This window comes from Homo sapiens, chromosome 8 (assembly GCF_000001405.40).
Source record: "Homo sapiens chromosome 8, GRCh38.p14 Primary Assembly".
Classification (NCBI taxonomy): Eukaryota; Metazoa; Chordata; class Mammalia; order Primates; family Hominidae; genus Homo; species Homo sapiens.
The window spans coordinates 53898811-53914271 of NC_000008.11; the positions used below are offsets into that span (position 1 = coordinate 53898811).

The following is a 15461-nucleotide window of genomic DNA, read 5'->3' on the forward strand; positions in this document are numbered from 1 at the left end:
ATAATTCTCTAGGCCAAGGAGCACTGCAGGTGCTTTTAACCAAGGAAAGAGTTTGCATTTCTGATCTTTGTACTGACGTATGCCTATGAAAGAAAACACTGAAATGCTATGTAACGTGACTGGCATGTTCATTTGCATTTCACACTGTAGCATGATGGTCAGGGAAACTATTTTCATGGCACATTATTGTTCAAATACATATTAAAATTTCTGCTGTTAGGAACTTTATGTTCCCAGCTGTGATGTGTTAACAGCATTTCCTTCAGAAGTCAGGCAGCTGGCCCCCACACTAACTACAATGCTGTGCGATGCTCCTGTGTCTGTCCTCCTGGCACCACAATGCCTGTGTGCCATGTTTGTCACCAGCATGCTACATGTGCTATGTCCACTGCCTTTTGTCTCTCTATTCTCTTTATTGGGTATTTTTTCCTTCCTTTTCTCAGGTGTCTCAGGTTTAAGTCACAGAATCATGACTTTATGGAACAGAAAGGGGAACGACTTAGCCAACAGCAGCCCAGAGCAGGCAGCTGACTTATGTCAGGCGAACAAGTTAGTGACAGAACAGAACTCACAACCTGCATTTCTGTACTTTTTGGTACTCAATCCACTATGCTGCCTTTAAGGTAAATTAAAATACCAGCATTTAAAAACTGTTTTATGACATCCATTCATAGAGATGTGTAACCATCACTGCAATTCATTTTAGAATATTTTCATCACTCCAAGAAGAGACCCAGCACCCCTTAGCCGTCAACCACCAAGTCCCTTCCTCCAGCAGCCCCAGGCAGCCACTGAGCTACTTTCTGTTTCCACAGATTTGCCTGTTCCGAACATTTTATATAGATGGGTTCATATGATACGTGGCCTTTTCTAGCTGGCTTCTCTCACTCAGCATCCTGTTTGCACAGTTCAGCCATGTAGTGGTAGGTAACCATGGCATGTCAGAAAGAGAAGAAAAACTTGGTGGTCATTTTGCCTCCAGTTCAGAAGACAAAACCAAGGCCTAGGGAGGTGGCTTCAGGCTCTAGTCACAAAGCCCAGCAGGGGAAGAGTGAGGATCCAGCTAGACCCCTCACCACTCACCGCCCTCAGCAGACCTCCTGGTGCTTCCCTGACCTGCGTGCAAAGGTGCTCTGCTTGGTGAACTGGCAGATTTACATGCCTGCCCTCTAGTTTTTCTGTTCTCAGCTTTGCCCAGCTATTTTTGTCACCGCTTGCGTGTCCTTGAAGGCATTCTGGGTTACTTCTAGATTTGTGAATGGTTGAGGTGCCAGATGTCTGAGGGTGGGTAAATGGGGTCCCTGCTATTTCAGTCCCTGCTGAATATAGACACAAAGGTACAGGACCAATTTGTTTACAGTCTTTTTTTCCCCTAGGTTAGAATGCAGTGGTGCAATCATAGCTCACTGCAGCCTTAAACCCCTGGGCTCAAACGATCCTCCCACCTCAGCCTCCTGAATAGGTGGAACTACAGGTGTGTGCCACCATGCCTGGCTGATTTTTAAATTTTTTTTAGAGACGGGGTCTCACTATGTTGCCCAGGCTGGTCTCAAACTCCTGGACTTAAGCCATCCACCTGCCTCAGCCTCCCAAAGTGCTGAGATTACAGTTGTGAGCCACTGTACCCAGCCTTGTTTACAATCTTAAAACACCTATAAGGTCTTTCTATATTACTCATCGTATTTTTACATTAAATATCAATGTTTATATAGCAAGAAATGTAAACAAAAAATAAAATATCAATAAGTACTAAATTTAAAGAAATAAGGCACCAGAGTAGCACCTAGTTTTCAGAGACCTTTCACATACATTCTCTCATTTAATCCTCTTAACAAATCTCAAGGCAGCTAATGTTATACACATGAGGACGTGGAGGCTTAGGAAGGTGAAGTAATTTGGTCCAGGCCTCACAAGTGGCAAAGGTCAGGATGGCAGGGCTCCTCTGACTGGACACCCTATGCTCTCCTCCCGCTATTGCACCAGACTGCTGGACATTCCTGGCCCAGTTCTCTGTTTTAAGCGAGTGTTCTCTAGGGACCAGCTGTGGGCCAGAAGGTCAGCACAGCACTCAGAGGACTCCTCCAAGTAAACCCAATATTCCCACTCGGCCCTCTGACCCCAGTCACGGCAGGGCTGTTCACGTCCTGACCTGGCTCCATGGGACACTCCTCCACACCCCTCACAGCATCCCACTGTACTCTCTCGACCTCGGTCTACCAACAGCAACATGCCCTGGCCTTCATACTTGTCTCTTTTTTTTTTTTTTTTTTTGAGATGGAGTCTTGCTCTATCACCCAGGCTGGAGTGCAGTGGCGCAATCAATCTCAGCTCACTACAACCTCCGCCTTGCAAGTTCAAGTGATTCTCCTGCTTCAGCCTCCCGAGTAGCTGGGACTACAGATGCCCGTCACCACGCCCGGCTAATTTTTGTATTTTTAGTAGAGATGGGGTTTCACCATGTTGGTCAGGCTGGTCTCGAGCTCCTGACCTCAAGTGATCCACCCGCCTTGGCCTCCCAAAGTGTTAGGATTACAGGCGTGAACCACCGCGCCCAGCCTATACTTGTCTCTTAATGTCTCTTTCTGTTTCATCTCTCACTGGGATCTGGCTAGTCTTTGAGAACATTGCCTTCCCTATGGCCCTGGTAGTTAGAGACATTTCCCCACAGAAATTCTGCCACTTCAGGGCTTAGAAGTAAGGTAGGTGTCTCTGCTGTCTATTGCCACTTCTAAAACATTCCTTCTCTGAAAAACCGCACCTCTTAAATTCTGACACATGCTACAAAGATGGTTGAACCTTCAGGACATTATGCTGAAGGAAATAAGCCAGACACAAAAGGACAGATACTATATGATTTCACTTATATGAGGTACTTAGAGTAGTCAAAATTATGGAGACAGAGCTGGCACGCACCTGTAGTCCGAGCTACTTGGGAGGCTGAGGCAGGAGAATTGCTCCAACCCAGGGGTTTGAGGCTGCAGTGGTATGATCATGCCTCCAAATAGCCACTGCACTCCACTGTGGGCAACAGAGTGAGACCCTGTCCCTTAAAAAAGGAAAACATTATAGAGATAGAATAGAATGCAGAATGGCAGTTGCCAACATCATTGGTGAGATTAATCCACTTATTGAGGTAGTTGGAGATTGTTCATTCTCATCGCTGAATAATATCCCATTATATAAACACATTCACTTATCCATTCTACTTTTTATTTTTTTTTCTTTGAGTCAGGGTCTCGCTCTGTCACCCAGGCTGAAGTACAGTGATGCGACCTGGACTCACCACAACCTCTGCCTCCTGGACCCAAGGAATTCTCCCACCTAAGCCTCCTGAGTAGCTGGGACTAGGCGCATGTCACCACATCCAGCTAATTTTTGCTTCTTTTTGTAGAGACAGGGTTTTGCCATGTTGCCCAGGCCGGTCTCAACTCCACCCGCTGTGTCCTCCCAAAGTGCTGGGATTACAGGCATGAGCCACTGTGCCTAGCCCCATTCTACTATTGATGAACATTTGAATAGTTTTTGACTATTATGTGTAGAACATCCTAATGCATACTTTTGGTGCAACGTTCTCAGGGAGTATATACCAAGGCCTGGAATGGCTGGGTCAGAGGGTGTGTATGGGGTCAGCCAAAACACATTCTGTGAGTGTTCCTAACTGGTTACACCAATTTACACTCCCATCAGCGGTGCGGGAGAGTTCTGGTTGCTCTCTATCCTTCCTCTCTATCTTTCTCATCACTTGGCATTTCCTTCATTATTTTAGCTGCTCTTTTGTGTGGGGATGTGCATGCCATTCCCTGTCTATGCATAGTTGCAATATTTGCACTGGCTCATTACACTGACCAATAGGTTATGGATACTGCTGTGAAAATGAAGAAAAAGATAAGCTTTTAAATGTAAAAACAAAATGATTGGTTCTTTTTTTTTTTGGAGACGGAGTCTCCCTCTGTCGCCCAGGCTAGAGTGCAGTGGCACGATCTCGGCTCACAGCAACCTCTGCCTCCCGGATTCAAGTAATTCTCCTGCCTCAGCTTCCCGAGTAGCTGGGATTACAGGCCCTCGCCACCATGCTCGGTTAATTTCTGTATTTTTAGTAGAGACAGGATTTCGCCATGATGGCCAGGCTGGGCTCGAACTTCTGACCTCGGGGGATCTGCCCACCTCGACCTCCCAAAGTGCTGGGATCACAGGTGTGAGCCACCCGTGCCCAGCCCAAAATGATTGATTCTTATATTTTTGACAGAGAGATCAGATGGATCAGTTCATACTCTGGCAGTTAATTTTATTTCCTCTAAATAAAAATGGACAGGTTAATTTATTAAGCAGCTGTGTTATCAATATGGTACGTGTGTGTGCTTGTATAGATAGATGTATATGTACATACATAACTATACATTTTTCTGGACACATAATATTTTAGGTGCCTATTGTATGCTAGACACTGTTCTACCATCAGTAAAAAAGCACTGCCCTGTTTTACTGTTGATTAAAAACAAAATTCTGAAAATAGTGAACAATGAGGCTTACAACATTTGTTACAGGATAAGAAATCTCAATTTAGAAAAATGTTGTCAACTTTGACTAACCTGGAATGCTCGTTACACAGTCCTGAAATTAATTTTGATCCTAATCTGGCTATAGCTGCACCCCAGCCAGCCACCTTCCACAGCAGTTAGGTCCCTGACAGGAGACGGCACCCAGGAAGCCACAAAGAGCAAACTGGTTTCTGCCCAGGATCTCTGCCAGCTCTGCAGCCTTGGTGATGTCACTTACACAGCTCAGCACTCTCCATGCTTCTTCCCAGCCTGAGCCAAGCAGCATCAGGGAACTTGTTCTTCTGTCCCTTGGCCTTGCCTACCCCACCTTTCACAATGAAAGGTATTTCCCAAGAAAAGCACACTCACCCTAAAGCCAGGTCCCTCCCTACCAAGTCTCAGCACTAGATGCTGCTTCAGAAGGAGAAGCAGAGCAGAAAGACCATAGAGGGAAGAAGGGTATTTGCGGTCTTCTTACAGCTCCTACCAGAATTTTACCTTTTATCCAAGGTGAGAATGGAGGCAGAGTGAGTGGCTGGGAGACCTCCACCATTATCCAGACCTGAGATGTTAACTAGGGCCATATCACGTGGAGAAGAACAGGGCAGATGTGAGAGGCATGCTGGGAGACAGATTGCCTTTGCCTTTGCCAGGAGTTAGGATTGGGAGGAGTTGAGGATGATGAGTTTTCTTGAACAACTGGAGAGATAGTAACACTGCTTACCAAGAGAGAAAAAACAAGAAGGGGTAGCTTTGTCTGGGGAGATAATAACTTTGCTTTTTTTTTTTTTTTTAACCAAGTCTCACTCTGTCACCCAGGCTGGAGTGTAGTGGTGTGATCTCTGCTCACTGCAACCTCCGCATCCCAGGTTCAAGTGATTCTCCTGCCTCACCCTCCCAAGTAGCTGAAGTAGCTGGGATTACAGGTGCCTGCCACCACACTTGGCTAATTTTTATATTTTTAGTAGAGATGGGATTTCGCCATGTTGGCCAGGCTGGTCTCGAACTCCTGACCTCAAGTGATCCTTCTGCCTTGGCCTCCCAAAGTGCTAGGATTACAGGCGTGAGCCACCACACCTGGCCACAACTTTGATTTTTGACATTAATTTTTCTATGATGTAAGTGATTTGGCTGTTTTTTTCTATAATTTGCAATAACTACGCAGAAATTCTCATTAGGGAGCCTGCTCCTTGCTGGGAAACAGTAAATAGCTGGCCATTCTCATGCAAACCATTAATGATGGCCTCATATATTCCTCAGCCATTTGAAGAGTCCCTAAAGCAGCCCCACAGACAAAGATTTTCCCAAGTGTTTAATACTTTCAGAGGTGCCCTGGGCCAAGTTATCACTGGGAATGCACCCCAGCTGCAATTTTCTTGAGAATGCCACTATTTCCTGGGATAAGCAAAGCTCTTAATAAAGATTTCAATCAGTACTTACAAAATGGTCCTTCGTTGTTGGCTGACATTAGGAAAGAACAAATAAAAACATACATAATTTATTTATTTCCTTCATATCATACTCTCTTCTTTCTAATACTTCCCAAAAGGCCATTGTAAAAGTTGAGTTATATAGGATGTTCATTTAGTAATGGCAGAAGAGAAGAGAAAGACACTCTTATTATAGTCTTAAAGCCTTCACTGGCTTAAAACCTCCTGGGGCTTACACATTTGGCAACGGCTATATAAACAAAAGTGTAAAGATTTCCATGATAAGTCACTGAAAAACAGATGGTAAGATGCTTAAGTGGTTTTTTAAAAGATGAGGACATCTGTAAGCATCCATCTGGAAGTAATTATAATTCAAAAGTCTTTTGTTACTATTAAGCTTCCAGTTGACTTCCCCTACTAGAAAACAATGGACCAGCTTTTTCTTAAAATAGACAATAAAACCCAAATAGTCAGACAATAAAACCAAAAGACAGAAATTTTTGAAAACCCATAGATTTGCCTGGAAGCAAAGTTTAGAATTTCCACAAAAATCCACCAGCTACTAAACTGTTGGCTTTCTGTATCAAACATAGTGGAAATAGAGCTTTGATTTGATTTTTTGGTCTATTTGTGCTGAAGTCAGTGCAAGTAATTCTAGCTCTTCATTAATATTTCATGAGCCACAGTGAGATGGACTTTTGTCTGGTGATGACTATACTGCAGGATAATGGGCCAGCGTCCTCTCAAACTTAGAATCGCCTCATCTCAGCATCCTACTAAACAGAACATCACTGTTGACCAGCATTCAGCTTACGTCTCGGCTGCTAATAGTAACAGGGCCTGTTTGTGACTTCAGCAGCATCTGGTGACCCGGTGTTACTCTTGCAGTACGTGATTCAGAGAAAGCCACATTCCCCTGTTGCTATTTTCAGGTAGGCAGCTAAACCCAGGGAGAGTTTAGCATGGATTCAGCAGGTCTGTTTTTCTAACTTCATTGTGTAAATTCTTGAATGAGAATCTAGCGAGCAGCCAAAAAAAGACTTCCTGTGAACTCATCTTCCTTGAAGCCAAACATCTTCAGAAACTGTTTCCTTCAGGTTCTGGAAGCCTAGAGCCCTTCAAATGAGATTTGTCCCTCTCCCCAACACACTTTATGCCTCCTGTCCCCAGCCAAATGGCTTTTCCATCCTTTTCCTCCTCCCGTTCATTCGACTTCCAGTTCTGTCTGAAGTCAGAGGCATGCATGGGGCTGAGAGGGGCCTGGGTCACAGGGTCCCCCTCCTCCACCCACAAGTGAACATCCAACTTTAAGACCAAGTATTTAAGACCAGAGGATCCTACAAAAAACTCACTCAGGCCAGGCGCGGTGGTTCATGCTTGTAATCCCAGCATTTTGGGAGGCTGAGGCGGGCGGATCACGACCTCGTCCCTACTAAAAATACAAAAAATTAGCCGAGCATGGTGGCACGTGCCTACAGTCCTAGCTATTTGGGAGGCTAAAGCAGGAGAATCACTTGAACCCGGGAGGTGGAGGTTGCAGTGAGCCGAGACAGCACCCCTGCACTCCAGCCTGGGTGACAGAGCAAGACTCCATCTCAAAAAAAGAAAAAAAAACAACTCACTCAACCCTCTGCTACTTTGCTATCGAGTGGCCCCCTAAGTGTGCTGGCAAATGTGGTATCTGTGAAAAATCATCCTCCATCCAAGGCAAAATAGTATTAGAGAAAGATTTCCCAGGCAGGGGAAACCTAGAAGGCAGGACGACCTAGAGGAGGGTAAAATTAGGAGTAAATTGAAACACGTTGTGTTAAATACTCAGAAACATTACTGCAGAGAACAAGGAAATGAGAGTGTCTCTTGAGGCTGCAGTACAGGAGGATATTCCTGGAATATCGCAGTGCTTTTCATGCACCTGGGAACCACAGTCAGTGGGAGCTCAGAAAACAGTGAAATTGAAATGAATGAGGCTCATGAGGAAAGGAGTTTTGTTCTTAATGTGGAACAGCAACAAAGACCCAATCGTTTGAACAGGCTTAAAAAAGTACTGGGAGAGATATGTATAGGGCACAACTGAGGGACTAAGGTAAAATCATAGCATCCCAGTGCAATGCAAGGGGAAGGCTTACAGCTGAGAGTTAGGAGGGAGACTCCCTTGTTTGTGTCCATCTGCTATAGTTGGTATATTGGGGATTACCAAAGCTGTAAAATCCCCAGACATAGCTCTCTGGCTTCACGTTCCACCCCATTTTAATGTCATTAGTCATTTCTTCAATGTGAAAGCAGAAAGAAATGTCCCATCAATTAACTCTGTAGCATATCGTAACAAAAATCTGGGAGAAGCAATGGAGCTAAGTGGCCGGGTGGCTTGGTATCAGAGCTGCCTTCACACTGGTCCCATTCTTCCTTATCTCAGATAACAAAGCATGCAGATTCCTCCTGCTTGTGAACCACATTTTTTTTCTGAAGCATTTGATGTTTTCTATGTCTTGTTAGCCTTCCTGTATCTATTAAGATTTAAAGAATCTTGGCTGGGCGCGGTGGCTCACGCCTGTAATACCAGCACTTTGAGAGGCCGAGGTGGGCAGATCACGAGATCAGGAGTTCAAGACCAGCCTGGCCAACATGGTGAAATCTGTCTCTACTGAAAATATAAACATTAGCTTGGCATGGTGGCACGAGCCTGTAATCCCAGCTACTCAGGAGGCTGAGGCAGGAGAATTGCTTGAACCCAGGAGGCTGAGGTTGCAGTGAGCCAAGATTGCCCCATTGCACTCTAGCTCTGGGTGACAGAGCAAGACTCCATCTCAGGAAAAAAAAAAAGATTTAAAGAATCTTTCCAAAATATTTAAAGAGTAAGAGAGACGCTCTTGGGGATGAGGAGTGGCGGGGCAGGTAATGATTCTCCTGGGAGGCCAGAGGCCAGGCTAACAGGCTCCTGCATCTCATGGCTTCTTAGGATCCCAGAAAATGAATGGCAAGCTTACACTTTGCATTTTAGAGGGGTAGGAAATGAGGGGCCAAAAGATTTAACCAGGATACAGATTAAGTTTAAAGGTCATTACCGGCTACCGTGTCTAAGGGTGAGGTTTGGGATTCCTGCCTTTGTGTCATTGTGCAGCCATCAGAGGTAGGAGGTACGGTCACCCTGACCCTGAAATACTCACAATGCCAGCCCAGAAAAAATCCATCTAGAAGTGCATTCTGCAGGGTAGAGTCTCGGGTTCAATGAAGTTGTGAGGCAGGTGATGAAAGGTCAAAGCTGCCTGACGCATTCATGATGCTTGACAGAGAGCGCTCAATCTGAAGATCATTGACAGTGAAACTATTGAAAACGGCATATGCATATGGAACAAAAAGATGGAAAACGTTGGGAGATGGGATAATGGGTGATTAACTCTTAGAAATGTTCTTTATAGAACATTGAAAGCAAAAAATAAAGGCAGGCACATGCAGACAAGGCAGCTATGGAAAGGAAGTCATGAAAGTTAGAAGCAATAGTTGGAATAAAGCAATAGATAATGGAGATACAGAAAAGTAAAACACTGGACTTGCCGAGCTACTAAAACTTATACAGACTGCTGCTGGGAGCGGTGATTCATGCCTGGAATCCTAGCACTTTGGGAGCCCAAGCTGAGTTGATTACTTGAGCCCAGGAGTTTGAGACCAGCCTGGGCCACATGGTGAAACCCTGCCTCTATTCATAATACAAAAATTAGCCAGGCATAGTGGCAGGTGCCTGTAATCCCAGCTACTCGGGAGGCTGAGGCAGGATAATCTCTTCAACCTGGGAGGCAGAAGTTGCAGTGAGCTGAGATCATGCCATTGCACTCCAGCCTGGGCAACAAGAGTGAAACTCCATCTCAAAAAAAAAAAAATTAGCTGGGTGCAGTGGCTCACACCTGTGGTCCCAGCTACTCAGGAGGCTGAGGTGGGAGGATCACCTGAGGCCCAGGAGGCGGAGGTAGCAGTGAGCTATAATTGCACCACCACACTCCAGCCTGGGTGACAGGGTGAGACCCTGTCTCAAGATAAATAAATAAATAAACAAACTATCATATCAACACAGAAAGTTATAAAGCAGCATTCAAAATCATATATATACTCTTGTAATCATGTAAATAATTTTTGTGAACAAAGGGAAGGAAATGCAAAATAAAATTTAAAATATTGGCATGATGGATTTATGGCATGTTATTCTTTTTAAAAATATACTTGGTAACAGTTGTTGAGCATTTAATAATTCCAGGCACTATGTGAGGATTTTACATGAATTATCATATTTATTCCTCCCAGCAACCCCATGAGCCAGATACTATTATTTTCCTGATTTGACACAGAGAAGTTGGGGTGACCTGCCTGTGGTCATACAGGTAGTGGTGGTACTGGGTCCATTTGATTCTGAGTACTCTATTATCCATTATGGTATGTGTGTATATATATATATATATATATATATATATATATATATATATATATACTTTTTTTTTTTGAGACAGGGTCTTACTCTGTCACCCAGGCTGGAGAGCAGTGGTGTTATCTCAATTCACTGTGGCCTCTGCCTTCCAGGCTCCAGCAATCCTCCAGCCTCAGCCTCCCAAATAGCTGGGACTATAGGCCCGCACCACCATATATGGCTAATTTGTTGTTGTTGTTGTTGAGACAGGGTTTCCCTATATTACCCAGGCTGGTCTCAAACTCCTAGGCTGAAGTGATCCGCCCATGGCCTTGGTCTCCCAAAGTGCTGGGATTACAGCTGTGGGCCACCACACCCAGCCCCTTATGCTATTTTTTTTAAAGGCTGTTATTATAATAGTGTACAGGTAGATATTTAAATGCATGCTTATATTAAAAATTTGGAGATATATTAATGTTCCTATGGCAGAATGATATCATAGTCCTGGTACTTGATATTGGAGGTTTCTTGCTTCTGGTAGAGAAGTAACATTATAGAAAGTAGCAATACAGTGGGAAGGAATTGTTGTGTGAATAATGATGAACCATTTCTGAGAATGGATTAAATGTGTATGATACACTTGTCTTTGACAACTTTTGACTGATGTGGAAGGACAGAGGTGATGGAAACTCTAATGAGGAAGGAAAATGTCTGCTGGGTGTGTATTCTCTCTCTTTCCTTCTAGAGTCCTTTGTATCTAGAGTGTCTGAGACTGGGGAAATGAAGGTGACCAGTAGATAGTTGAAGAGAGCAGGGACAAATGCCTTCCTGGGCTGGGTTCATACATTTTATTAAATTCCCTGTTACATTATCAAACAGAAAGGGTAAAGATGCATTGAGTCATGAGGTAAAACACAGAGGGATACATTATTAGTTCTTTAATCATTCATCACATATGTATTAAACACCTTTACATAAAACAGAATCAATCAAAGCACTATTAGGAACATGAAGAAAGCCATGTAGCCAGCAAAAGTATAGATGCCCTGGTACCAGCAAGAGCACAAAGCTGGTATTTGAGGGGCTCTTGCTTCAGGCTATGGGCCAAAAAAAATTACCAAGACCCTCCACCAAGGAAGAGGTACCCATAGCAGATAATACATGAAAAGATGTTCAACATTATCAGTCAAGAGGGAAATGCAAATTAAACCCACCATGAGCTGCCACTTACGCCTATTAAAATCGCCAGGAAAAAAAAAATCTGACAATGTCAGCTACTGACAAGGATGTGGAACAATTGAAACTCTCATTCATTGCTGGTGGGAACAGAAAAAAGATACAGCTCCTTTGAAAGACAAGTTGGCATGTTCTTAGAAAGCGAATAAACATGCACTTACTATGTGACCCAGTGAGTATTTACCCAAGAAAAATGAAAACATACACCCACACAAAAATCTCTGCACAAATGTTTATAGAAGCTTTATTCATAAGCACCCAAAACAGGAAATAACACAAATGTCCATCAGTAGGTGCCTGGACAGACAGTTATAACCATATAATTGAGTACTACTCAGCAGTAAACAAGAATGAACTACTGATACACACGACCAGGTGAATCTCAAAAGCATTACGCTAAGTGAAAGAAGCCCAGACTCCAAACAATGCATACCATATGATTTAATTTGTATGATATTTTGGAAAAGGAAAAACTATCATATCAATCTACAAAGTAATAATATACCTAAACATGTTAAAATCATACAGGCCACATTTTCTGATCAAAATGTAAAGAAACATACAAACTAGTCAGGCTAGTCAAGAAATTAAAAATAAACTTTAAAAAGGCTGTGGATAAAAAATCTGAGCTGCAATTAGATCTGAGGTATTTGGAGGTGAACTATTAGATCTGAGCTATTTGGAAATAAAAATAGTGCTATCTAGCAAAACTCAGTGGATATGATCAAAGCAGTAACTGGATAAAAATTTGTACTTTTAAACCCACTTATTAAAAACCAGCAGTGACTGAAAGTAAATGAACTAAAACTTTAGTGTGAGAGGCCAGGAGAAAAGTAAGCCATTTTTTAAAAAGTAGATGAAGAATAATGAAAATAAAAGCAGAAATTAATGAAATTTACAGTTAACAGAAAGCAAAATTGATCCATAAAACCTAAAGCCAATTCTTTGGAAACAGAACTACAGACTAACCTTTGGCAAATCTGATTCAGATAAGAGGATAGAAAAGCCCAAACCATCAGAAATGAGTTACGGTGCATAACTGGATCAAGACTTTTTTACACAAAAACCAAATAACATGTACAAGTTTAATGCCAACGTATTTGAAAATCTTAGGTAAGATAGATACTTTTCTGAAAAAATATAAATTTAAAATATAGTCATATGGTAGTAGAAGATCCTAAACTACGTAGAAAAAATCGAAAAGGTGTTATGAGATTTGTCCCTAAGAAAGGCATCAGGCCCTGGCCAGGCACGGTGGCTCATTGCCTGTAATCCCAGCACTTTGGGAGCCTGAGGTGGGTGGATCACTTGAGGTCAGGGGTTCGAGATCAGCCTGGCCAACATAACATGGTGAAACCCCATCTCTACTAAAAATACAAAAAAATTAGCTGGTCATGGTGGTGTGTGCCGGTAATCCCAGCTACTCGGGAGACTGAGGCATGAGAATCGCTTGAACCCGGGAGGTGAAAGTCGCAATTAGCCGAGATTGGGCCACTTAACTCCAGCTTGGGTGATGGAGTGAGATTCTGTGTCAAAAAATACATAAAAATAAAAAGATGGAACATTTCCAACTTTGTTTTAAAAGGCAGAAAAATAAGGATATTTAAACTGGACAAAGATGGCCAAAAAAAGGAAAATTCATGAAGGGAGATCCTATTCATAATAGGAACATAAATCACAAGACTGCAAATTCCTATGCATAGGAATAACCACATAGCAAACATTTATTGAGTGCTATGTGTTGCAAGCACATTTGAAGTGCTTCACCAGTATCGCCTCATTTAATCTTCACCTCCAGGATACTCAGTATCCCAGTTCTATTGATGAAGGAACCAAGACTCAAAAAGATGGAATAACTTCTCTAAGCTCATACAGCTAATCAACAATGGAGTTGAGATTTAAGCCAATTTCCCCCAGTCCTCACAATGGATACAGTTAATCTTGATTTTTTTTTTTTTTTTTGCCAATTTTGTAGGTAAAAATATCAAAAAAAGATACCTGGTTTTAATTTGCATCTCTTTGTTTTGCATGATTTCCTGCCACATAAATTTTAATATTTATTCTTGAATCACATTTAACTTCAATTTTGCATCTTCAGTATTTATGAAATCTTTCATTAGTTACATTCCTCAAATGAATTCATCCCACTGGATTCCAGCTACTGTTCATCTGTCTATTCTGATACTTCATTGAGAATACCAATATTTTTCTAAATTTACTTTTGATAAAACTGAACATTTTTTCATAGGTGATTTTATTTGTGTATATATACATATGTAGTGTGCATGTGTATGTTTGTATATGTGATTTCTTCATCCATGATTTTTTAATTTATTAGTGAGTAAAATGTTTTAAAAGAAAAACTTATCCTTAAACTATTAGGTTACCCTGAAGTATAATTTTTATAGGAAAAGTAGGATAAAAACTTGATTCTTTCCCCTTATTTATCAGTTTTCAAAATTGTTCCCTATCACTGTCTAAAAGTAGTCAGTAAGTTTTTTTAGTATCATTATGAATTCATAGTTTTACACATATTTTATGTGTTTCAATGCACTGCAATTGATTTTTTTTTTTTTGAGGCAGAGTCTTGCTCTGTTGCCCAGGCTGGAGTGCAGTGGTGCAAACTCAGCTCACTGCAAACTCCGACTCCTGGGTTCAAGCAATTCTCCTGCCTCGGCCTCCCAAGTAGCTGGGATTACAGGCACCTGCCACCACGCCTGGCTAATTTTTGTATTTTTGGTAGAGATGGGGTTTCTCCATGTTAGTCAGGCTAGTATCAAACTCCTGACCTCAGGTGATCCACCCGCCTCAGGCTCCAAAGTGCTGGGATTACAGACATGAGCCACCATGCCCAGCCTAAAAATAATATTAATAAATTATCACACTGGTTAGTCAACTCAGCTGTAGATTAAAATGTCCAGTCATCTAATGCACTTGACAGTTCGGGACAGAAGCATTAAAGTGGCTTCACAGGAGATCCTATTCCTCACTCCACGTTGGACATTGTTATGGGTTGAATTGTGTCCCCCCAGAATATATGTTGAAGTTCTAACCATGATACCTGTGAATATCACCTTATTTGGAAACAGGGTCTTTGCATGCACCACCACATCTGGCTAATCAAGTGAAGATGAGGCCAAACTGGATGAAGGCGGGCCTGAAATCCAACGACTGGTGACCTTATAAGGAGGGAGAGCTTCAAAGACCCAGGCAGTCATAGAGGGAAGAAGGGCAAGTGGCAAAGAAGACAGAGATTGGGTTTCTGTTGCCACCGAGGCTGCCAGAAGAGGCAAGGAAGAATCCTCCCCTAGAGCCTTCAGAGGCAGATGCCTGGCCCTGCTGACGGTTTGGTTTTGAACTTTTAGCCTCCAGAACTGTGCAAGAATAAATTTCTGTTGTTTTAAGCCATCGGGTTTGTGGTAATTTGTTATGGCAGCTCTAGGAAACTAATCCAGATGTTAAAGTTTATTCTTACATAGAAATTGAGGTTTCTAATAAAAGGTGTGTGGACGTGGCTACTTCGATCACTTACTGAGCTCTGGCACCATGACTTCTGGCCTTGGCTATATTTTCCTTTTCCTTTCTTTTTTTCCTCTTCCTTCTTTTCTTTTCTCTTTTTTCCAATCTCTCTTTTTTTTTTTGAAACAGGGTCCCGCTCTGTCAGCCAAGCTGGAGTGCAGTGGCACCGTCATGGCTCACTGCAGCCTCAAACTTCTGGGCTAAAGTGATCCTCCTGCCTCAGCCTACTGAGTAACTAGTACTATAGGCATGCATCACCACATCTGGCTAATTTTTAAATATTTGTAGAGATAGAGGTCATGCAATGTTGCCTGGGCTGGTCTTGAACTCCTGGCCTCAAGTGAT

The 15461-nt window shown here is 42.6% G+C and overlaps 1 protein-coding gene across 7 annotated transcripts in view, besides 3 other annotated features; it reads left to right on the top strand.

Moving 5' to 3' along the window:
• Nucleotides 1–15461, top strand: part of RGS20 (regulator of G protein signaling 20) — a 107509-nt gene that overhangs the window by 47016 nt on the left and 45032 nt on the right. Inside the window, exon 2 of one of the 7 annotated variants that reach the window (NR_104578.2) lies at nt 14687–15112. The exons of the other annotated variants lie outside the window; for them this stretch is intronic. The gene's annotated coding sequence lies outside the window, so the exon portion shown is untranslated. Of the gene's footprint in view, nt 1–14686; nt 15113–15461 lie in introns of those variants that run through there. 7 annotated transcript variants of the gene reach the window in all.
• Nucleotides 1076–1135: an enhancer, noted in NCBI's record as "active region_27364". NCBI's record gives its function as "activates an Ori minimal core promoter by ATAC-STARR-seq in GM12878 lymphoblastoid cells {active_cell/tissue: GM12878}" and the evidence as "EXISTENCE:reporter gene assay evidence [ECO:0000049][PMID:35858748]".
• Nucleotides 1146–1205: an enhancer, noted in NCBI's record as "active region_27365". NCBI's record gives its function as "activates an Ori minimal core promoter by ATAC-STARR-seq in GM12878 lymphoblastoid cells {active_cell/tissue: GM12878}" and the evidence as "EXISTENCE:reporter gene assay evidence [ECO:0000049][PMID:35858748]".
• Nucleotides 4795–4844: an enhancer, noted in NCBI's record as "active region_27366". NCBI's record gives its function as "activates an Ori minimal core promoter by ATAC-STARR-seq in GM12878 lymphoblastoid cells {active_cell/tissue: GM12878}" and the evidence as "EXISTENCE:reporter gene assay evidence [ECO:0000049][PMID:35858748]".